Source organism: Homo sapiens, chromosome 16 (genome assembly GCF_000001405.40).
Source record: "Homo sapiens chromosome 16, GRCh38.p14 Primary Assembly".
Classification (NCBI taxonomy): Eukaryota; Metazoa; Chordata; class Mammalia; order Primates; family Hominidae; genus Homo; species Homo sapiens.
In genome coordinates, this window is record NC_000016.10 from 24,533,955 (window position 1) to 24,557,391 (window position 23,437).

Below are 23,437 nucleotides of genomic sequence, written 5' to 3' on the forward strand. Positions count from 1 at the left end.
TTATTTATTTATTTATTGAGACAGAGTTTCACCCTTGTCACCCAGGCTGGAGTGCAATGGCACGATCCCAGCTCACTGCAACTTCTGCCTCCCAGATTCAAGTGATTCTCCTGCTTCAGCCTCCTGAGTAGCTGGGATTACAGGTCCATACCACCATGCCCAGCTAATTTTTGTATTTTTCGTAGAGATGGGGTTTCACCATGTTGGCCAGGCTGGTCTTAACTCCTGACCTCAGGTGATCCACCTGCCTCGGCCTCCCAAAGTGCTGCGATTACAGGCGTGAGCCACTGTGCCCGGCCAGTGTCACCATTTTAAAACAGACTCCATCTTAAAACTAGCAAGGCACATTCCCTGCTGGTCACGGCTCATGGTCATAAGATGTTTACAACTGAAGAAACAGCTTAGTAATGCCTGCAAGGACAAACTCCTCCAACAACAAAATGTCCAGATGTCCCGATCTCTCATAACAATATATGATTTTACAACCATTATAGTCATGCTTTTTGATATACTTACGCACTAAAATGCCAAGGATAATTTTCTTTAAATCAACAAGGTAATAAATTTGTTATGCTGCCAGCCTACTAGCACATAGACACAGCTTAGCTTTTACATAGATAAGACCCTATATTAGAAGAGTTTAAAATAAAGACAGTGCATTCGTCCTGTTGCTTTCTGAGGATGCCCTACTCTGCAATGAAGTAGCTTTCAATACACTATCTCTTCTCACTGTACTCTGAGACTCATCCTTAATTCTTTCCTGTGCCAGATCCAAGAACCTTATCTTGAGGTCTGGATGGGGATCCCTTTGTCAGCAACAGGAAGGAGGGATGACTAAGAAGGACACAGGGGAATTTTTATATGTCACTATACATTTGCCAAAATCCACAGAATGCACAACACAAAAGGTAACCCCTAATATGAACTGTGGACTTTAGTTAATAATGTATCAATACTGACTCATCAATCCTAACAAATATATGACATCAATGCAAAATGTTAACAATAGTGGAAACTGTATGAGGGGAGAGGGGCATATGGGAACCCTATACTTTCCACTCAATTTTTCTGTGAACCTGAAACTGCTCTAAAAAAGAGTATATTATGTACCGACAAAAAATAAACATTAAAAAAAATTAAAATAAGGCTGGGCACGGTGACTCACGCCTGTAATCCCAGCACTTTGGGAGGCCGAGGCAGGTGGATCACTTGAGGTCAGGAGTTTGAGACCAGCCTGGCCAAAGTGGTGAAACCCCGTCTCTACCAAAAATACAAAAATTAGTCCGGCGTGGTGCTGAACTGTAATCCCAGTGACTCGAGAGGCTGAGGCAAGAGAATCGCTTGAACCCGGGAGGTGGAGGTTGCAGTGAGCCGAGATTGTCTCACTGTACTCCAGCCTGGACAACAGAGCGAGATATATATTTTGTCCCTTTTCTATTTATTTATTTATTTATTTATTTTTTGATACAGGGTCTCACTCTGTCACCCAGGCTGGAGTGCAGTGGCACAATCACAGCTCATTGTAGCCTCAACCTCCCAGGCTCAAGCAATCCTCCCACCTCAGTCTTCTGAGTAGCTGGTACCATAGGCATGCGACACCATGCCTGATTAAGTTATTAATTTTTTGTAGAGATGGGTTTTCGCCATATTGCCCAGGCTGGTCTCAAACTCCTGGGCTCAAGTGATACTCCCACCTTGGCCTCCCAAAGTGCTAAGATTACAGGTGTGAGCCACCACTCATGGACTCTTTATTAACAATATACTTCACAATGAAAAAGGGAATACAGTGATCTTCATTCTATATTATACCCTATATACCAAAAAAAATCAGATTGATTATGGAGTTTAAAATCATGAAGCTATATATAAACTGGAAGGAAATATAGCAAAAAAATATCTAAGGTGAGTGCTGAGTGGGCTACAAGCCATTTCTCAAAGCAAAAGCAAAAACCATAAAGGGAGAAAGGTCAATGGACTTTTGTTTGTTTGTTTGGAGACAGGTTCTCCCTTTGTTGCTTAGGCTGGAGTGCAGTGGCACGATCATAGCTCACTGCTGCCTCAAACTCCCCGGCTCAAGCTATCCTCCCACCTCAGCCTCCCAAAGTACTGGTATTACAGACATGAGCCACAGCACCCTGCCGGTCGATGGGCTGTATTACATAAACTGCAAAAAAATAAAAAATACCCCAACAACTGTAGGCTGAAATATTAAATAAAATAGAAAGGCAACATAAAAGCAATCAACTCTCTGGAGAAAATACAGTGTGATGTAAGGGATGTATCTACCTTCTGTGAATTGGACTGACAACACAGAGGCTTAGAACTATTTTTTTTTTTTTTTTTTTTTGAGGTACAGTCTCGTTCTGTCACCCAGGCTGGAGTGCAGTGGCAAGATCTCGGCTCACCACAACCTCCGCCTCCTGGGTTCAAGTGATTCTCCTGCCTCAGCCTCCCCAGTAGCTGGGATTACAGGTGTGCGCCAGTGCGCCAGGCTGATTTTTGTATTTTTAGTAGAGACAGAGTTTCACCACGTTGACGAGGCTGGTCTTGAAATCCTAACCTCAGGTGATCCACCCACCTGGGCCTCCCAAAGTAATGGGATTACAGGCGTGAGCCACCATGCCTGGCCTTGTTAGTGCATTTTTAAGATTACATTCAATATACAAGCATAGAACAGCTTCCGTGGGACCAGGCACAAGCTCAGTCCTGTAACCCCAGCACTTTGGGAGGCCAAGGCGGGAGGACTGCTTGAGGCCGTGAGTTTGAGACCAGGGTGGGTAGCATAGTGAGGCTCTGACACTACTGAAAAAACTAAAAATTAGCTGAGCATGTTGGCACAAGCCTATAGTCCCAGCTACTCAGGAGCCTGAAGCAGGAGGATTACTTGATCCCAGGAGTTCAAAGTTACAGTGAACTGTGATTGCACCACTGCACTCCAGCCTGGGTGACAGAGCAAGACCCGGACTCCAAAATAATACTACTAATAATTAAACAAACAAAAAGAGAACAGCCTCCATGAAATAGATCTCATTCCGACTTCCTGAGCTTGAGTAGTTCACTACAGACAGCAGGCAGGCAGAGCTCCTTGGATCTCCCAATTCCGCTTGCTGGAACTGAATTTTGACATAAGAAAATAAGTTAAGGGGTTTACTAACTGTCTATGGTCAATGGTATGAGGCTATACTGGGTTTGAGAATGACAAAGGTTTGAAATCCTGGGACATGGGAGCTCCAGAATTGTTACATTATGAGAAGCTTAGACAGGAATGCTTCATTCACTGTAGGATAGTACAAAAGGCTTTTTCAGGGCTTACAAAAATATTGGTAGGGAGAGAAGCGTCAGGGAGACCAGCTCCATATTACCCAAAGAAAACGGCAAAATTTACAATTCAGCTCACTGAAGAAAAAAGAAAATAAAAAGTTTTTTTTTTAAAAAAAGAAAACTGCAAAATGAAGATTAGTAAAGGAATTCAGTGAAATGGACCAAATGTAGCATTGTGTCAATTAGTCAGGCAACTCAAGTCATAGGCTTATTGCAGGTGGTGAATGCATTTTGACCTGTTTGATGTGATATGAAGTGAGGCCTCTGTAAGTGAGAATATCAAGGTTGAACAAAGTTTTTGGCAGATGAGAACGGTTGGACCAATAGACAACATTCTTTCCAAGGACATCCCCCCCTGCAGATTAGGTTATGATCCACTCTGTCATATCCTGAGGGTGTGGCCCACTTTGAGATCCCATGATGCACCACGCTGATTAAATTAGGCATTCAGTATATAAAGGGGTCGGCCACAGACGGGCAAAAGGAACAGATTCACCGCTTCGGAGTGAATTCCATGACGGCTTGCAATTTTCTCGTCGAGTTTTTCTTTCACTAGAGATAGCCCTCGCCCTTTCATTCACACAGAGGCTTTTAAGAAAAAAGCAACCAACCTGAAGAGGACCTGGCAGCAATAAGTTTTTGGTGAAATAACAAAGAGGTAAAAGTGGAAGAAACTTGTTATATATGAAAAGTACTGATGTGTGTGGTTGAGTTAAATTGTAATGGTATCTCTAGAGCTGCCCTTGACTACGGCCAAAATTTTATTGCCACGACATCTCTATGGATCACGTAAAAATGTATCCAGTTATTCAGCACGTATTTATTGAGCACCTACTATGTTCTAAGAGCTGAGGATACAGCAAAAACAAATATAAAGATAAGATTCCTATTGTCAGCCGAAGGTAGGGGTTGGGGGAGATAGATAATTAAAAAGTAAATGTGTAACTGTCAACTATCTGCAAGTGCTAGGAAGAAAAGACTAAAGGGATAGAGAAAGATCGCCATCTTATTTTAAAAAGATGGCCTTAGGAAGGCTTTTCTGGCAGGATGGTGATTAATTTTAAATCAAGTTCAGTAAGAATTTGGAGTGTGCTTGCAGGAAGTCCCTGGGAAACTCTGCTACTTCTCGGCTATAGGATCTTATTCTCAGTTGCCTAAATTCACTGAGCCTAGCCTGTAAAATTCAGAGAGGATGAGGAACATGGATTGTAAACGATAATAACTATCGTTTATGAATGTAATTTTATTATATTATGATTTTTTCTGAATGTAATAACGTCCCCATGCCCAAAGGAAAAAAAAAATTCCAATCTACTGAGGGGGTTCTTGTCACTGTTCCTGGCATTTGCGCTTAGGAATGGAATCGGGACCCTGCCACTGAGCAGGCATCCCCTTCTGCAAATTCAGAAAGTACATGATTGCTAGCTTCAGTTCCATCATCTATAAATCGGAAATAATGTCATGTTGACCACGTAGGGTTTTTGTTGTTAAATTGACATTTATTGAGCTACAGCTATTAATATTTCGGTGCATTGAGCCACGTCAATGCACCGGCATGGTCTTAGACTATGGATTTATGTGCATTTATTTAATCCAAGTAAACCAAGTACTATTTTTAATGGCATTTTACAGCCAAGGAGACCCAGGCACAGAGGGGTTAAATCTAGAGCCCCCACAGCCAGGGATCCAACCCAGACAACGTGGCTGCTGAGCCTGGCAATGTTGTTATGCGATCAGCCCTGTGCCTAGCACATAGTAAGAGCTCAATAAATCTGTATGGTGCTGGTGGCTGTTATCAGTTCTTGGCAGCGGCTGCTCCACGATTTCCACTTGTCAAGAGTATAGGGTAGCCAGTTTATTGGAAGCAGCAGCTAGGGAGCGCTTGCATAGCAACCATAGTTTTCTGCGTAGCAACCATAATGCTCACTTAAATTGGGAGGCTTAGAGGAGCTGACGGGGCCTGTGGGGAAGGGGGAGTTAGCCGGCCACCCCTAGGCAAGCCACTTTGCAGTGGAAACTGCACGCAGCCCCTGCAAGGCGAGCTCTCCCCACCGAGCCTCCCTGTGAGCCGGTCCTCCTGACGCGCAACCCCCCTCCCTTTTGAAGCAGATGGTTCTTCCCGTTGTCCCTGCTCTTTCAGTTTCCGCGCTTTGGAGTCACAAAGCGCGGGGTCACGTGGGCGGGCCGTGCGCTTTGTGACGTCAGCCGCCCCGCCTCTCGGCCCGCCTATCCGCGCACGCCAGCCCCGCCTCGCGCGCGCCGCCCGTGCAATCCCTGCTTAAGAGACCCCGCAGTGGGGCGCTCGTCCGAAGCCAGGCCGCGTCCGCCATAGTACCTGGCTTGGAGGTGTCGCCGCCGCTCGGTGAGAGCCCCCGAGCGGCAGGGGGCCAACACAAAAAGGGAGCCGGAGAAGCCCTAGCCGCTGCCCAGCAGCTTGCGGGCGTGTTCTCGCGGTTCCGGGCCTCAAGGCGACGGAAACGAAAGGCGAGCGAAGCGCGGAGGATCCGGCGAGAAGAAGCGTCAGGGAGCCTCGGCGGTGTCCCCGGGGTCCGCCGAAGCCACCCGGCCGCCGGCTGGGGCCCGGGGTGGTGAGGAAGTGCTCCGAGGCCTCGCCGAGGCCTAGCGCCGGCTTTGTGTCCGAGGCGGCGGCGGCGGCGGGGGGAGGCGGAGCCGGGGGCGGCCTGCGGGAAGGCCTCTCCTCCGCCGACCGCGCGTTTTCGGCCTAGGCCGTGGGGCCGCTCGTGGCCTCCGGGGAGCAGGCGCCAGGGGTTTGTGTGCGGTGGGGGCCTGGGCCTGGGCCTGGGGAAGCTGACGCCGGTCGTCCGGAAGCCAGGAGGAGGCGTGAGGCCGCTCGTGGACTCCGGGCCTAGGCCCTCTCCCCTCAACCTTCTCCCGGGGCCTGGGTCACCCCAATCCACGGAGAGAGAGACCCGCCGGGAGGTGCGGCCGCGCTATGGACCCCTGACCCCGTGGGGTCGCTCGGACTCTTAACGTGTGGACTGACCGCTACTGACTGCACCGCCAATCCCCCCGTCTCTGCCGGCCCCTTAGCATGAGCGAGGGGGACCCAGCCGGGTGACATTGTGCCCGTTGGCGGATTCTCGATTTCCCCTCTTCCCCGTCCTCGTCCTCCTCCTCCCCCATGAAGTGATTCTGAGTATCGGGGGGTCTCTGGATTATTGTTCTGACGAACCCCTGCTTGTGGTTGGGGGGTATTTAATCTGAGGCCTTAGGGTCCTTCGGTGTCTTTGAGTGTTTTGTGTGTACATATTTTGCTCTTAAAGTTTATAAATATACGTATATTGAGAGTGTCCACGTCTCCTCGCTGAACCTTAGGAATCCCTTGGCACCATGTCCTGTGTGCATTATAAATTTTCCTCTAAACTCAACTATGATACCGTCACCTTTGATGGGCTCCACATCTCCCTCTGCGACTTAAAGAAGCAGATTATGGGGAGAGAGAAGCTGAAAGCTGCCGACTGCGACCTGCAGATCACCAATGCGCAGACGAAAGAAGGTAAGGGCCGCTTGGTCTTAAGATATTTGGTGGCTGGAGAGAGATACTAGCTAGAAGGTGCCTGGCAGGAAGCTAACCGCCATTATGTCTCTAGTGGGGACTGTTCGTTCTAGTACTTTGGATACAACTTTCATTGATAGCCAAGGTTTGCAGCAGTTGGCCTTGGAGTTTCACTGGTTTATTTTATTTCTGCATACTTGGGTCATCTGTAACAGGCTAACCCAAAACGTGGAAGCCTGATTATTCTTCTCGCTGTTTTTTAAAATGAGGGAGGGAGGAGAGGGGGATAGCTATCTAGACTCTTTGAGTGCTTGTCTTAGGGCGTTTTCTAACTTATTTTCCATCAGGAGGGCAGGAGAGCCTGTGCAAAGCTTGTTTGTTCAATCAGCAAAAAAAAAAACAAAAAAAAAACCAAAAAAACAATTTTCTAACCTAACAACATTGTGGAGTTTGATGGCAAATTTTATGTCCTGCCTTCCTCCCTCCTCGCATTTATTTATTTGGAGTTGCTTGCCTGTGTTGTGGATAAGGGATCTGAACTTTAATATTTTTGAGGATTTAATCAGTATTGGAATTGTTTTTGGATCTTGAAATGTTCTGATGTCACCGCTCTTGTCTTGTGTGTCAATTCCAGAATTAGTAATACGGCAATTAAGTAGTTAAACTGTTAGTTCATCACATTACTCTTAAGCTTTATCAATTCGGTGAAGATCAAAAGTACTGATTTTTTTTAAAGTAGTAGTTGCTAGATTTTACGTGACTGTTGATACTAAGGTACTGAAAAATAGGCTGCTACCATAGAGTACAAATAAGCCACTGATAAGAATCGTTAGATTCTTTCTCCTTTTCAAAAGTATTTTGATAATATTGGGAACTTAACAGTAGATAAATGTGACAAGCAGTCTTTCCTGACTCTGAACTTGTTTTGGTTTCTTTTTCTCAGATCAGTAATGCTGATGTGTATTTTTTAGCAGTTCGGTGTTCTAAAAGTTACTGATGGAATGAGAAGAAGTGAAGTTACAATTAGGTTAGGGTATTTTTTTAGTCACTAAATTTTTATCACACTTAAGGTGTGACATGGATTCTTTTAGTTGAAATGGGAGGTCCCCCACCTCCAGCCTGTAGTTTAGGTAGAGTAAATCTTGTCATGTAGAAGACCAGTTTTCCATTTACAATGCAGACCTAAGTATAATTGTATTAGGTTAAGGAACAGCAGTGCTGGCATATCATGACTCAAAAATATTAAGGAAGAATTTATTTGCTCAAATGATATTATGTGAAAATACTGTCTGCTTCCCCACCTTTTAAAAACAAGTGTCATACCCTTTGATAATTGGAGCTATGTGTAATCCTCTGCCTAAGGAGAGGAAAAACTGGTGGTGGTCATGAACAGTTGAGAAATAGCTTTATTTAAGTGCCTCACAAGCATCCCTTAACTACAACAGTCACATTTCACAGAACAGATGGGTTTATAAGAAGTTTGGGCCATCTTGACATATTGAGTATTTATGAATGAGAGGAGAGACAATATGAATGGAATTAAAGGATATTAAGGCAATTTTAATCGTCATATATTCAGGTTTCATATTTTACTGGAGTATTACACAATCGAATCATTAGGGCTAGGCGTTATCCATCTTTTCGACCCAACAATTGAATGCAGCTTTTTTTTTTTTTTTCCCCTGAAACAGAGTCTCACTCTGTCACCCAGGCTGGAGTGCAGTGGCACCATCTTAGCTCACTGCAACCTCCGCCTCCCTGGTTTGAGCGATTCTCATGCCTCAGCCTCCCAAGTAGCTGGGACTACAGGCATGCGCCACTACACCCAGCTAATTTTTTTTTGTATTTTTAGTAGAGATGGGGTTTTGTCTTGCTGGCCAGGCTGGTCTCGAACTCTTGGCCTCAAGTGATCCACCCACCTGGGTCTCCCAAAGGGCTGGGATTACAGGCATGTGAATGCAACTTTAGACTGGGTAAGTTATAGTTAAAAGAATCCTGTCCGGAAATTTAAGAGTTTTGTGACTTTGTGTAACCAATTTTTTTTTCCTAGCCCAGGAAATAAATGATACGTAATTCAAACCCAGAAAGCCAGGAATGTGTTTTTGCCCAGCACATTTTCTTTTTTATATTTATGTGAACTGCCCTTTATTGGAGAAAGCTTTGATGTTCGGTTTGTTAAGAAAAGGGAGCTTTGAGGGAGAAAATGTGTATTTTATGCAGTCCTCAAATTAAGAGAGAAAGAGATATTGATGGTAGCTACTTAACTAGTTTTATGGGAAATAGTATCCAATGTCACAAGGCAGTTGAGTAGAATGCCATTTGGTTTTAGCACCGATATTCAACATATTTACTAAAGAAAACTATGGTAATCTTTTTATCACAGTTAAGGTCCAGTTTCTTAATTTCATTCTTATAATTTTAAAATCCCTAATCTACCATGTTTCTGTAAAACATTTCCTTACAGTTTTGGAATTATGTGCATGTTTAGGTCCCTTAAATCTTTTTTTTTTTTTTTTTTGGAGACACATCCTCACAGGCTAGAGTATAATGGCACAATTTTGGCTCATTGCAGCTTCAACCTACCAGGCCCAGGTGATCCTCCCACCTCAGCCTCCCAAGTAGCTGGACTACAGCCACACACCACCATGCCTGGCTAATTTATTGTAATTTTTTTTTATTTTATTTTGGTAGAGATGGGGATTTTGCCATGTTGCCCAGGCTGGTCTCCTGAGCCCAAGTGTTCTCCTGCCTTGGCCTCCCAAGGCCATCCCAAAGTGCTGGGATTATAGGCTTGAGCCACTGTGCCTGGCATAGGACCCTTAAATCTTGATAAGACTGAAACGCTTGGGTCAGAATTCCATGGATTTTAGACAAGAATCCTGCTTGTTTCTAGACTGTATTTCAAAATGAATATCAAGTAATCTTTGTTATATATGAGAAACTTTTCTGCACACCGACCCCTAAAAAACAAAACATCCTTCGTTCTGAAATTAAAGTGTGAGAGGTTTGGAAGCTGAATATGAAGTGTTTATAAATGACCCTTGTCACCTTTCTTACTCTCCATTTCTCGGATTCATTCTGTTTTTCATTTCATCCATGCCTTTCATGTCTGGGGTCAAAAAAACTGGCAAGCAGAAAGGGTCTTTTGAAGCCAACAGACTACTTGTTAAGGAGGTATTTTAAATGAAATACCCCCAAAGTGTCTTTATTACCCCTAGAAAGATACTTTGAGGGGTAAGAAATCATTGTAATTCAGGTATTTAAAAAGTCAGTTAGAACATCTGTTTTGAAGGGCATTGAGGCACCTTTTAGTTTGACACAGTACGGTGCTAATCAAATTAATAAGCTGTCTTGGAAAGCTCTTGTGAGTGCATTGAGTTGTTACATATTCAGAAACTTCCTGTCAGGTGTTTGACACAAAGTTTTATTTCTAGAATTAACTTTTAAAAAAATCTAGTCACCCCATGCTCTCAGTTTTTCTGACTCAAAGCTTCCTCGGAATTTGGGGCTATCATGAACTGTCCAAGATAAAGATTATAGTCCTACATTGGCATGCCTAAATCTAGGAAATTGCCTACCTCTAATTGAATGCCTGTGAGATAGTGCCTTCTACTTGAAGTATATAGAAAATAACCCTTGCCTGAACAATTTCATTTCTAACAATACTATTAGCATTATGACTAAAAATAATTAATATACATTAAAAGCCGAATATGCCTACATATGTGGTAAGCGTAATAATCGGAAGAACAGAGATAGTCACTTTGTGCAGAGTAACTTTAAGTGAAGCAAGTAAACTTAATGACAATAAAAAGGCCTGGTTGTGTGATTAAAGGAGATGGATACATTTTTGCATCTCTAGGTAATTTTTCTTTTTGGTAATTTTACAGATTCTTTCTGTAGCAAATCTTTTTACCATAGTTAAGGTCCATTTTCTTAATTTCATTCTTATACAAGTATTGCAAATAGCCCAAGGAGTGTAAAAATAGGATCCATTCTTCTCCCTCTTGGTTTTCCCAGAAGGTGACATCACTGTTTATCCGATGACTGAAGCCAGGAACCCAGGGATTCCTCTGGCCTGATTCCTCTTTCTTCTTCATTTCCTTCATCTCCCCCATATTCGGTCCATCAGCAAGCTTTGTCAATCCTACCTGCAAACATTCTGTCTTTATTTCTCACATCATAACACAGGTCGTCATTATCTCTACCTGGATTTTTTAGCAGCCTGGTTATTAGTCCCCTGGTTTCTACTCTTGTTCTCCTACAGTTTGTGCTCCACATTGGTGCCACAGTAGTCTTTTTTTGAGACAGAGTCTTGCTCTGTCACCAGGCTGGAGTGCAGTGGCGCGATCTCGGCTCACTGCAGCCTCCCAGGTTCATGCCATTCTCCTGCCTCAGCCTCCTGAGTAGCTGGGACTACAGGCGCCCACCACCAAACCTTCCTAATTTTTTTGTATTTTTAGTAGAGATGGGGTTTCACCGTGTTAGCCAGGATGGTCTTAATCTCCTGACCTCGTGATCCGCCCCCCTCAGCCTCCCAAAATGCTGGTATTACAGGCGTGAACCACCGCGCCTGGCCAGTAGTCTTTTTTTCTTTAACAAAAAGCAAATAATCACTTTGCTTAAAATCCTTCAGTGTCTTCCTGTTGCACTTCAAAACAAAATATAAATCAGTGTATGGTCTATACCTTTCTGTCATTCTTTTCTTTTATTTTCTTAGGCTCTTCAAGCCGTTTCGTATCATTTTTCTACATGCTTTTTTTATCCTTTGCCTGAAATAGTCCTCAACCAGTTTTTTTCCTGTATCTGGCTGGGTTCTCAGTCTTTAAGTATCCAGTAGAAGTTCCTCCAAGGGGCTTTCTTGGAATCAACATTCTATCTGAAGTTGTATTCCACTATTCATTCCTTATTAGAAAACCATTTTCTCTTTATTCATAACGTCATAATTTAATTTTTAGTCTATCTTCCTCAGTAATAATTTCTGTGAATGCAGGGATTGTAATACTCAACTAACGTTTAGGGACTAGGAGAGACAGAATATCTTCATTCCGAATAACGGCTTTTTCACCATTCACATGTTCAGCATTTCAGACTAAACTAAAGAATGACGGTGTTACTGAGATTTGGAGTTCCACAAAAGTAGAAGTGCTAGAGCCAAGAACCTGCTGATGATATTGGTTGTCCTTTGAAAAGAAGCCCTCTTAGGGCTTTGGATGTTTGTTCTGACAATATCAGTAATCTAGTTGCAAGGAACTTGTAGTTATTATATTTAAAGTCATTTCCCATGAAATTTATATTTGAAGTTTTCTAATTCTTGGTTACGCACTCAAATCCCCAAATGGAAATTCAATTCTGTCTTTTTATTTACAGAATATACTGATGATAATGCTCTGATTCCTAAGAATTCTTCTGTAATTGTTAGAAGAATTCCTATTGGAGGTGTTAAATCTACAAGCAAGACATATGTTATGTAAGTATCAAATCTCATGTATTTCTCAAAATAGACTTTTTTTAGTTTTTTTAATTTTGTGAGAAAAAACTGTATTTTAGAACTGAACTCATTACTTTAACCTTAATGAATACATCTTCTCAAGACTGTGAGGATAGTAGGTTTCTTTGTTCGTTTGTTTTTGATTTCCTCCCCCAGTTAAATTGACTTAGCCTGTTGTGAGAGGGCCATTATTAGGAAAAATTTTTCTCCATATGGCCAGTATTTACAGATACAAGAAAGTGATATTCACATTATTTCTGTGCCTTTCTTTGACTACTTTTTTTTGTGGGGGTTCCTTCAGTTTTCTTCACTACAAAAATTTGGTGTTGTAGACATCGGTCCTAAATATTTTGACAGCATCAAGAGTATTCAGTAATGCTAACATTTACTCTTTATCAATAAGGGGCTTTGGCTGAGAGGCATAAAGTATATAGGATTTATAATCATGGGCACTGAAATCAGGCTTAGATTTGACTCCATTTACTGCTTCATACCAGTTGTGTGACTTTGGACCTTGGGTAAGTCTCTGTGCCTCAGATTCCTCAAAAATAAAATAGGGACGTGAGTACTTAACTCTAGAGGGTTGTAAGAATTAAATAGTGTCTGGCACATGCTAAATGCACATTATTGGAGTAGGAAGAGAGCAGTCTCACAACTAGTCCGGAGCTGGTATTCACTAACCTGGGGCAGGATTAAAACCTTATATCCTTAACTTTCTCTGCTTTCTTGCAATTTCAGTAGTGATAGCAGAACTATAATATGTGAAAAGGGCAGCAACATAGGTTATTTAAAGAGTAGTGATTTTCACTTAGAATTAGGTAGTATTGTTTGAAATTGGAACAAATTATTTTGAGTCAATGAAAAATTCTAGAATTTGCCAGTGCTAGGGAATGGAAAGTGTTCTTGAAATTAAGGTAAAAATAAAGTCATTTCTTGGAGCTTTACCTCATATGGGCAAGTATTCTAAGATTTTTCTCATTAGTTTGTTGTAAAGTTATATTCCATATCTTAACACTTAGAGGTCCTTTTGTGCAGTATCTTCCATATAATAGCTACTTTAAAAAGCTGAATACTTTCCTTGTTGTAATTGCCAAGTGAACTTTTAATGGTGTGTGTTCTTAACTTTAAATGATTCTAAGAATTATATATATATGTGTGTATATATATATATTGTTTTGTTTTGTTTTGTTTTTTCCTGAGATGGAGTCTCACTCTGTTGCCCAGCCTGGAGTGCAGTGGCACAATCTTGGCTCACTGTAGCCTCCGGGCTCAAGCGATTCTCCTGCCTCAGCCTCCCAAGTAGCCAGGATTATGGGTGCCCACCACCAAGCCTGGCCAATTTTTGGATTTTTAGTAGAGACTGGGTTTCACCATGTTGGCCCGGCTGGTTTCAAACTCCTGACCTCAGGTGATCCACCCAACTTGGCCTCCCAAAGTACTGAGATTACAGGCGTGAGCCACCGCACCCAGCCTAAGAATTATAAATTTATGGGGAGAATTAATTCCTACAATCCAGTGTGAAATTTTACTTTAATTTACCAAGTGCTTTTTAAAAAATGGCAAATGTATTTTCTGTAGATTTTTTGATAGAAACTCTTAAGAATTATTTGAAGTACATGGCAAAATAAGTTGCCTCTTACACAGAATTATATGTTAATGTACAATATATAGGGTTCTGTTTGTAATAAATTTGCCTCATAAAATGCATCTCAGTTTTTTTTTGAGCAAATACTAGAAAATCAAAGCTCAGTTTTTTTTTTATCTCAAATTCCAAATTATACACACACCTAGAAACTCCTGTTAGATGCTAACATTTCTCTATAGTCAAGATACCTTAAACTTTAAGCATTAAAAGGCTATAATCTAGCAACTCAACTTCTTCCCCTTTCCTGTGTGGATTAAAATAATTTCTTTTGGGGTTTATGTCTTTTAAACATCAAATTGTCCAGTTCTACACAGCCATTTAAGTCAGTTCTTTTAACTAAAATACTCTGATTATATTGTGTTTTTCTGGGAGTGAGAATTTTTGTTCAGTTTTTTTTTTTTTTCTGTTTTTAAGAGATGGGGTCACTATGTTACAGCCCAGGTTAGTCTCAAACTCCTGGGCTCAAGTGATCCTCTCACCTTGGCCTCTTGTTCAATCCTTGATTGTTGTTTTGAGACATTTGAAAAATGAAAATAGCTATCAGCCTGGCCCTCCAGATTTGAAAATTAGTTTTGGGAGCACAGCAATTTCTCAGGGATTCAAATTACAAATGTTAACAACAGCAGTCTTCCTGATGTGTGAAAATTTACGCATTCAGAAACTGGGAAATTATATAATTTAAAATTTTCAGTTTATTAAGAATAAACTACGTTTCTAAACATAAAATCCCTATACTACCTTTCAGAAAACATTTGTTTTAAGTGGCAGGGTACACCTATTTTTGAATTCCCTAGTATGGAATTTTTTTCCAAACCACAAATCTATCTTAAAACTGCTCAAAGGTGGTAAAGATTAATCAGAGTAATTTATTCATTCAGAAATTGGCTGTTAAATATTTATACCAAAGGAAAATTAGGTTCCTAAAAATGTATTATTGAAGATAATGTGTTAAAATTTATTAGCACAAAAATTCATAAATAGCTAATGTTAATTTTTGTTTTTATTTTGTGTTTTAGAAGTCGAACTGAACCAGCGATGGCAACTACAAAAGCAGTATGTAAAAACACAATCTCACACTTTTTCTACACATTGCTTTTACCTTTATAATGTAGCAGTGAAGTAAATCATTTTAGAACTTAATATCCAACTGATCATAGTACATATTGTAAATAAAATGTATTTTGATGACAGCTCAGTTGAATATGGATAATATGTGGCATCACTTGCACACTTATTTTGTAGAAATGGGTAATTTGTGCCCGTAACACTGTTTCATATTAAATATGATAGCATTATCCCTGTATGACACTGTGTTGTACAGTTAATGTATGATCCTTTTTAGATCGTTTAGGTTTTACACTAAGGAACATGATGACATGTTCTACATTTGTCTGTCTATAGTTAGTATTTTGTATGTATGTACAGGCTGTTGTGTGCTTTTTGTTTCTTGCAATAAAAAATGTTTGGAGTGTATATTTTGCCATTTTCACGTTGTATCACTTAGTTTTTGTTAGTTTTTTTTTTCCTGCCTGATTTATGGCTTCCAAAAACGCATTAGCAACATGCAAAGCTTATATTAAAGTTTGATGCTTTCTCCAAGTTCAAACACATCATAGAAAAGAGCTTTCCAGAGACCATTGATGCAGCTTTATTATTTAGTCTTGCTTTATTTGGCATTTTGAGCTCCTTCTTTTGTTTACATCTGTACTATAAAGTGAAACCTGAACCTGGGGCCCCCTATGAATATATAAGTGTCTTAGTGATTTTGAGTTTATATAAACTGATTATATTGTTTTCAAAGTTTAATGAGATCTTCCACTTCTATCTAGTTAGTGCAGATGTCCAAATTAAAATATTTCCCTCTTATACTAAAATGCTGCGTTAATTTTAGGCCATTGAAAGCTGTACCTTATCAGAGGTAACTCCCCTTAACCAGGATAACTGGTTTGAAGAAAGTTAAGCTTAATTTTTGTAATCACAGATTAACTTAATTTGTGATACCATTTTAACTTTGAGCTCTTAAGTAAAAAGTAGCAGCATTCCTAAGTTGTGGGGTGAAGCATCTGTTTCATAACACAGGTCTATCATAATTGGGTTCTGTAAATGTAATGGTTCTCTAAACATTTTAATGCCCAGGCTTGATATTGTACACAATGCAAGATGTCTAAAATCTTCATTTAGAATTCAAGGGTATTGCTTGCTATTTCACATTATATACTTTTTAAATACTATTGCTCTTTGTATATGAGGCATTTCACTAACCTTGGATCATTGGATCTTAAACATGATAATATAGAATATCTGAACATTGGACTTGTTCTTTAGAGTATATGGCCTTTAGTTCTTGTGGAACTAAATACAGTGATTCTAAGATCAAAAGTCTTAGTGTTTGGGGTTTTTTTTTCCTCTTTTTGGATATGGGGTGTTTTTTTTTGTTTTTTTGTTTTTTTTTTTTAAGCATAATGCTGTAAAAACTGTCCAAGCTTATGTTTTGCTGGTGATTGGTTTAAAACTGATTTTTATGTATCCAAATGCTAGCATAAATTAGATTGACTATCCTGGTGACTGTAGTAGTTAATGTAACACATTTTGTATAAAGTACAGTTTATATAGTATTTAAACTAATTCAGATGAAGTTTTATTTCTTGAAAACAGTTATTTCCTTTTTGTTTATTAGCATGTGTATAAACACAAATCACATGTTCATAAATAAAGTTAACATTCTTTTAGCCTTGTGTGTTCCGGCATGTCTGTATTACATTTATAAGAAGCAGTTTATTTAAGCTTATTTAGGTTTCTCTTTTCTTTTCTTTTTTTTTTAATACTTTAAAATTGGCTTTAATTTTTAGGTAGAATTATCTGAAATAGAGATATTAGATAACCTTGTTGTCCCCATCATTTATTTGCTTGGGGTACATTTGCTGGCATTTAAGATGAGAATATATTCATCAAGCATAATTAGTGCCCATCTTAGGAGATTTAGAGTCACGTGGATTGTACACATTCACAAAAGCAAAGTAAATAGAGGCGCTAAGCCAAATTTTTCTTATCCTGATTAGTAAAGTAAATGTATAGTTTTGGTAATGGAAGCGAACTCTAATCAAGAATGGATGGCTGTTTCCATATTCCCCAGTCTTGTTTTTAGTCATCCATCCATGTTGATACCCCAAAGCTGGATGTTCTTCTTGCTAACTAAATATCAGAGTGGTATTTTATAGGATTCTTTAACTTCAAAAAGCTAATATAATTGGCATAAAAGATTTTAGATCCTTGCTTCCCAAAACAAGACCCCTAATTAGGTACAGGGAGGTGGGTTAATTTTAATGTCTACGGTCTGCATCAGTCCGTTTTGTGAGGACTTTAAGTGGCAGACTTTTTTTTACCATTAGTATCTTACCAAGAGTCACTATTTTTATTGATGTTTAGTAATACAAATTCCTAATCATTTTTAAACCATTCTTTGTCAACATTTTTTGCTCATTTCTGAACACCTTGCTATATGTAGGAAACATTTGTTTGCTTTTCTAAATTTGAGGTAAATTTGACTTCTTTGTGGACTATAAGATATTTAGGGGCAATAGTGATTACTTGGTGGTAAAAAGGTGATTTAGGTGCAGTTGCATATCTAAAACCACTTCAAAGTCAATAAATACATAATACTAATAAGTTAGCAGAAAGCTTAAAAGCACACAAAAGCCCAGCATAAAAACAAAAAGGATACTATATCTTAAGTGTTAGGAGTGGGAAGATTTTTTTTTTATTCTTAAGTTTTTTAGTTCCAGTGGTAAGAAAGTTAATATAATTGTTTTCTTTCCAAGGAAATCATCAGTATTTATATTCTATTCTAGATAGTAATGGGCTATTTTTAAAGACTATTTGTTTTATTGGTTAGAATGTAGTATAGATGATGGTTGACAGCAATTTGTCTAGTCCTTGTTACTTAAAATCAAGTAACTTCTGGTTGGTATAAAATCTTTAAAATAGATTGAGTAGGTCAGAACTTATTTTAGATAAAAAGAGATATGTATTATTTAGAGGTTTTTTTCTACTTACCACTTGAGATTAGTTCTTAAAGGAAAAAAATACTTAAAAGCTGGACAAAAATGATAACCCATTGGCAAATTATGTAGATATGCATTAAGTTATAGGGTTAGTGCATCATGAACTCTTTTATAGTCAGTTCCTTAATGTGGAGCAAAGAACCTTTTGTCTGAATAAACATCCCAGTAATATCCATCAAATTAACTTTTAAAACCCTAAGATATTTGTGAGATGTGTCTTATATTTAGCCAACATTATTTTTTATTTACATTTATTGAATCCCTACTGTGTGGGCATTGGCTAAGAACTTCATATTGAGACTGGTTACATTTGTCTTTGGGGCTCTTAAGTCATGTTGCTTTTATTTTAAAACTTTTGGTTCTCTGGAACAGAATACCTGATGAAGACTTTTTTCTTTGATCCAGACATCTTGTTACATTCTCCATTTTAAATGAAGAGTTCTGACCTTACGACATGTTAACTAAGCAACCCACTTACTACGTAGGAAGCTGTAGGGAAATCATATCTTCAAGATTGTTTGCTAAAGATTTTTTTAAAAACTGATATTAAAATCATTTCAGAGGATCAAATGAAAAAAATTAGTGTTCAATTTAAAATACATTTTTATTTTTATTTTATTTTGAAAGAGAAATGTTTTATTCCTCTTTGCACAGAACAGTTTATGAAGGTGGCTCTCTCCTGACTCCATACATCTTTTACACAAAGATGCCTCTTCAAATATGCCCAGTTATCTCCCCCTCTTCAGTGTTAGAGAATTGGCAGTTAGTGAGTGGGGCAGAATGCTTAAGGCTCATTAAAATACCTTTTTTAAAGCCCTCTTATATCCTTTATGTACACTTGCTCTGTGTGATTAAATTAACTTTCTTCAAATATTAGAGTCCATCATAATAAGTGACAGCTCTGTTGGCCTTCTCCTCAGGGTGCCATTGTTTTCCCTTTTTTTGACTTAACATCTTTGCCCTGAGAAAGCTGTGGTTTCTTTGACAAGAAGCTATTACTCTTTGTATGAGAGAATAAACAAACTTACTCAGACTGAAGAGTATGTTTTCAAAAATTAAAGAAGTAGCAATTATATGGGAGCTGTTATTTATTAAAGCAATTATCTGAGCCCTTAAAGGGCTGTTTGTTTTTACAATGTTGTATAATGGCCTTGCAGGAAAATTAGATTTCTTATTCTCTCTTCCAGTGTACATTGTCTTGAGTATTGTCACATTTAGAGACCATAGGGAGATATGGGACTCCTAGTATTCAGTCGACACTCTGAACAGATTTTCTGTGTGATACATTTTTTCATTTTAATTGAGTCCCCTCTTCCTCCCCTCCAACTGATAGCTTTTTATAACTGTGTGAAATATCTAGAGAAGAATGAAGTAGGCTGAGCTACATTTTCAAGCTTAACATTCTTTAGAAAACTAAGAAAATGCCCAATATTTCAACATTAAGGTGTCAATAGGGGCTAAATGATCACTTTAAGATGTTTTCAGTTTGGAACTTGAATGTGTGTTTAATTTTTTGTGAACAGATTGATGACTCTTCCGCGTCTATTTCTCTGGCCCAGCTTACAAAGGTATATATATATATATATTCTTGAAAATATAAGTTTTTTTCTAACATCATATTTTTTTATGTGGAACGGTTTTTTAAGAGGGGTTGGGGGAGGACATATTTTGCAAAAGCATTGTACATATTATTACTATCCTGTAAAGAGTAGTTGCTGTTTTGAGAAGATAGGGGAATACTTTGTCAGCCTCAGCGTATTGGAGTATTGTTCATCTTCAAGACAGAAGAAACACTTGAAGCTACACTTAATTATTTTTTTTCCCTCATACATTTTGTTTAATTATACATTGGAAACTAACAAGGTTCTGGAGGAATTTCCTGGTTTTGGCTATAAATTATGTGGACCTTTTTTAAGCAGCCAAAACAGAAGATTTCCTTTACACGGACGATTGCATGGTTATTTCTTGAATATTTGACTTGATCCCATGAAGGTCAATATTTTAAATGTGATGCAGTTGTTTCTTTATGCTATAGACTTGTAGTCTGTCTGCATTAGGAAAAGTTTTGAACAACCTAATTTGTTTGAACACAGACTACATGAATTGTGTAAGTGTGTAAAGCTGTTTGCAGGAATATACCAATGTGTATGTTTGGCAGAGGGGCAAATTGTTACCTCCTGAATCACTGTATATGCCATGTTTTGCGATAAGATTGCTTGCATTTTCTGCTCAACAATGTGTATCTTCTGTTTGGGAAAGCACTAGTGATGGATTACTTTTTAAAGCAATACATTTAGCTTGCAAATTGTGCCTTTAAAAAAAAAAATAGGCAGACTTTTGAGGGCCAAGAAGGAAGCTGTCCAGTTTTCCAAAAATCCTTTTTCCCTGCTATCAGAAATGTGAAACCAAATTTAGCAACCAAGATTAATGAAAAGATGGGTTTTCCATTAGTGCTGTCCCTATCTTGTTCTTGGCTTTGTTATGTCCTTTCCCCTAGACTGTATCCCGACAAAATGTCCTAGTAACAAATTGCTTTTTAAGCTCCTGTTCTGGGAAAACTAAGCATTAAAATTGATTATTCTAAAACATAAAGTGGACTAAAGCCATCCTATTTTATAATTTTCTAATGCAAAGTGGTTTAGTATAGAGTTAACACTTAGAAGTTTATAGTTTACTGTTTTTATTCTTATGTACTGTAAGGACCATATTTGAGTTTTTGGTCTATTCCTACCATTGTTTCTTTGTGGGGAGGAGTTGGGGCGGTTTGGGGGATTGGTTTTTTTTTTTTGTTTTTTTAAACTACAGGTATTTGTAAAACAATGTTTGGGTTCAAACAAATTAGTTGTTAAACATCTGTAATCCAGTTTTCTGTAAATGTTGCTGTTGTTCTAAGCTCTGTTAATGTTAAGCATTCTTTGTATATAAAATTACAATAAAATGTTAAAACTGGTTGCTTGTTTTGTGGATGAATGTAAAGACAAACCCCAATGAATGGCTGATATGAGTGCTAAATGCCTGAAGATTCAACTTAACTAGAAATCACTCCCTTAGACCCTGCTTACATCTAGACCTTGTATATCATACCTCAAAGATGAAATTCATAAAACTTATCTGAAGAGTTTAATTTAAAATTATAATGCTCAATGCACATCTTTTGCACTTGAGTTGAAACTAACATCACTACCTAAAGAGCCTTCTACTTCTAATATCTGCTGCATAATACGTTCAGTCATTCTACCCCCATCCCTACCTCCACATTGTAAGTATAAATTAGTCTTAATGCTCTGACACTTGAATTATTTTTAAAACATCAAGTGTTTCTATTCTAACTTAATATCAGTCTTTAACTTGTAGAAAAGTAGTATGCAAGTCTTAATGTAAGGTACAAACAGGGTCTAAGGTTTGAGTGCCCCCAGAATGACTTTCTTCAGCCTTGCAGACACCTAAACATCATGTAATTACCTAAGGAATTCCCAAGTGCCTCTTCCAGGTTATACGTGTAAATAGCTGTTTTTATGCAAGATTAGTTAGATACTGCTCTTTACAGGATGAGTGGTGTTGTCTTTGGCTGTGTGGTCTTAAATGTGTTTCTAATGTGTGTGTCAAATAATTACCTGTTAAACAGACTGCCAATCTGGCTGAAGCCAATGCTTCTGAAGAAGATAAAATTAAAGCAATGATGTCGCAATCTGGCCATGAATACGACCCAATCAAGTAAGTTCATAAATATTTTATACTAATAGGAACTTTTGGGGTGGGTTTTCCCCCCCAATCAAAAGCACTATTTTTTCAAAGTCCTCGTATACATGTAATTTTTTTTCCCCCTTTTAGTTACATGAAGAAACCTCTAGGTCCACCACCTCCATCTTACACGTGTTTCCGTTGTGGTAAACCTGGACATTATATTAAGAATTGCCCAACAAATGGGGTAAGTTCAAAGCAGAAACTATGGTATATCTTACTTTTTTTCCTTTGGAATTGTTCCTTAGCTATCTTATTTTTCTTGGTTAATACTGCCTTCTGTAGACAATGGCAAATGAGCATGGTCTCTGGAGCCAAATTTGCCAGGCTTCAAATCTTGGTTCTGGCACTTGGCTGAGTTTGGGCAAGTTACTTGATCTCTATAAGCCTGTTTTTTCTTCTCTAAAATGGAGATAAAATAGTACGTACTTCACATAGCAGTTACAAGGATTAAATGAGATCACATATGTAAAGCACTACAAGTAATATAGTAAGCACTGTATAACATTAGCTAATTTATTAAATAAAGATAACTGCTTTTTCTCTTCCTCCTCCTCTTCCTTTTTCCTCTGAATAGGATAAAAACTTTGAATCTGGTCCTAGGATTAAAAAGAGCACTGGAATTCCCAGAAGTTTCATGATGGAAGTGAAAGATCCTAATATGAAAGGTGCAATGCTTACCAACACTGGAAAATATGCAATACCAACTATAGATGCGTAAGTATGCAAATTAGGTATGACCTGTGGAGACTCCAGTCAGTCCCAGGGTATAGTGTTTTAATCTTGGGCTTGTAACTTTGCTACTTGGATTCCTTGAGAACTTTGTATACCAAAGCCATTAGTCTCTACATCTTGCATTTCTGTGAGGCTGCAGTCTGCTCCATTTAAAGCAAATTTAAAATGGATTTGGGGATTTTTTGTTACCAGTGAGTGCCACTTCCCTTGTAGTCTTCTAATTTTTTCTTTTTCTGTCATTCCCTGCTTTCTTCCTCATTCACATACATACTCCCACATAATCTTATTATATATGCTACTTGCATTTTTAAGTGAACAAAACAGATTGTAATCATTTTGAGAAACAGGAGGCTTAAGAATAAAAGCTCTGCATGATGTTGAGGCAAATTTAAGTGTCAGGCATAAATGAAATACTGAAGTAGCTTGAATAAGTTTGGATATGCCATGTGAGTCTTAAGATTCTCAAGTAAGGTTTATTTTATAAACCACTAGTTCAGATCAACTATAGCTCTATAAAACACCTTAATGCCTTTTTTTTTTTTTTTTTTTTTGAGACCAAGTCTCGCTCTGTCCCTTAGGCTGAAGTGCAGTGGCACAATCTCGGCTAACTGCAAGCTCCACCTCCCAGGTTCACACCATTTTCCTGCCTCAGCCTCCTGAGTAGCTGGGACTACAGGCGCCCGCCACCACGCCCGGCTAATTTTTTGTATTTTTTTAGTAGAGACGGAGTTTCACCGTGTTAGCCTGACCTTGTGCTCCACCCGCCTCGGCCTCTCAAAGTGCTGGGATTACAGGCATGAGCCACCACGTCTGGCCCTTAATGCCCATTTTTAATGTGTATTCAGATTTTATATTATGAACCAGTTTTTAATGAAATGGACAGACATGAAAATTCAGTGGCAGGGTTCAACTAGATAACCTCCCAT

At 38.9% G+C, this 23,437-nt stretch overlaps 1 protein-coding gene across 3 annotated transcripts in view, besides 5 other annotated features; it reads left to right on the forward strand.

Annotated features, from left to right (window-relative positions):
- Nucleotides 3,554–3,848: an enhancer, noted in NCBI's record as "tiled region #12060; HepG2 Activating non-DNase unmatched - State 1:Tss, and K562 Activating DNase matched - State 5:Enh". NCBI's record gives its function as "activates a minimal TATA promoter and a strong SV40 promoter by Sharpr-MPRA in HepG2 and K562 cells {active_cell/tissue: HepG2 | K562}" and the evidence as "EXISTENCE:reporter gene assay evidence [ECO:0000049][PMID:27701403]".
- Nucleotides 5,275–6,269: an enhancer, noted in NCBI's record as "NANOG-H3K27ac-H3K4me1 hESC enhancer chr16:24550550-24551544 (GRCh37/hg19 assembly coordinates)". NCBI's record gives its function as "activates a minimal SCP1, AML or CMV promoter by ChIP-STARR-seq in primed H9 embryonic stem cells {active_cell/tissue: H9 hESC(primed)}" and the evidence as "EXISTENCE:reporter gene assay evidence [ECO:0000049][PMID:30033119]".
- Nucleotides 5,559–5,608: a silencer, noted in NCBI's record as "silent region_7286". NCBI's record gives its function as "represses an Ori minimal core promoter by ATAC-STARR-seq in GM12878 lymphoblastoid cells {active_cell/tissue: GM12878}" and the evidence as "EXISTENCE:reporter gene assay evidence [ECO:0000049][PMID:35858748]".
- RBBP6 (RB binding protein 6, ubiquitin ligase) overlaps nucleotides 5,612–23,437 on the forward strand; it is a 33,298-nt gene continuing 15,472 nt past the window's right edge. For 2 of the 3 annotated variants that reach the window (NM_006910.5, NM_018703.4), the window contains exons 1-7: nucleotides 5,612–6,838; nucleotides 12,209–12,308; nucleotides 14,991–15,027; nucleotides 19,559–19,603; nucleotides 21,661–21,749; nucleotides 21,867–21,963; nucleotides 22,354–22,493. In NM_006910.5, coding sequence (NP_008841.2) covers nucleotides 6,673–6,838; nucleotides 12,209–12,308; nucleotides 14,991–15,027; nucleotides 19,559–19,603; nucleotides 21,661–21,749; nucleotides 21,867–21,963; nucleotides 22,354–22,493 — 674 coding nt within the window. In that variant the 5' untranslated portion in view covers nucleotides 5,612–6,672. Of the gene's footprint in view, nucleotides 6,839–12,208; nucleotides 12,309–14,990; nucleotides 15,448–19,558; nucleotides 19,604–21,660; nucleotides 21,750–21,866; nucleotides 21,964–22,353; nucleotides 22,494–23,437 lie in introns of those variants that run through there. The other variant, NM_032626.6, reaches the window with a different exon arrangement.
- Nucleotides 5,879–6,058: a silencer, noted in NCBI's record as "silent region_7287". NCBI's record gives its function as "represses an Ori minimal core promoter by ATAC-STARR-seq in GM12878 lymphoblastoid cells {active_cell/tissue: GM12878}" and the evidence as "EXISTENCE:reporter gene assay evidence [ECO:0000049][PMID:35858748]".
- Nucleotides 6,270–7,262: an enhancer, noted in NCBI's record as "NANOG-H3K27ac-H3K4me1 hESC enhancer chr16:24551545-24552537 (GRCh37/hg19 assembly coordinates)". NCBI's record gives its function as "activates a minimal SCP1, AML or CMV promoter by ChIP-STARR-seq in primed H9 embryonic stem cells {active_cell/tissue: H9 hESC(primed)}" and the evidence as "EXISTENCE:reporter gene assay evidence [ECO:0000049][PMID:30033119]".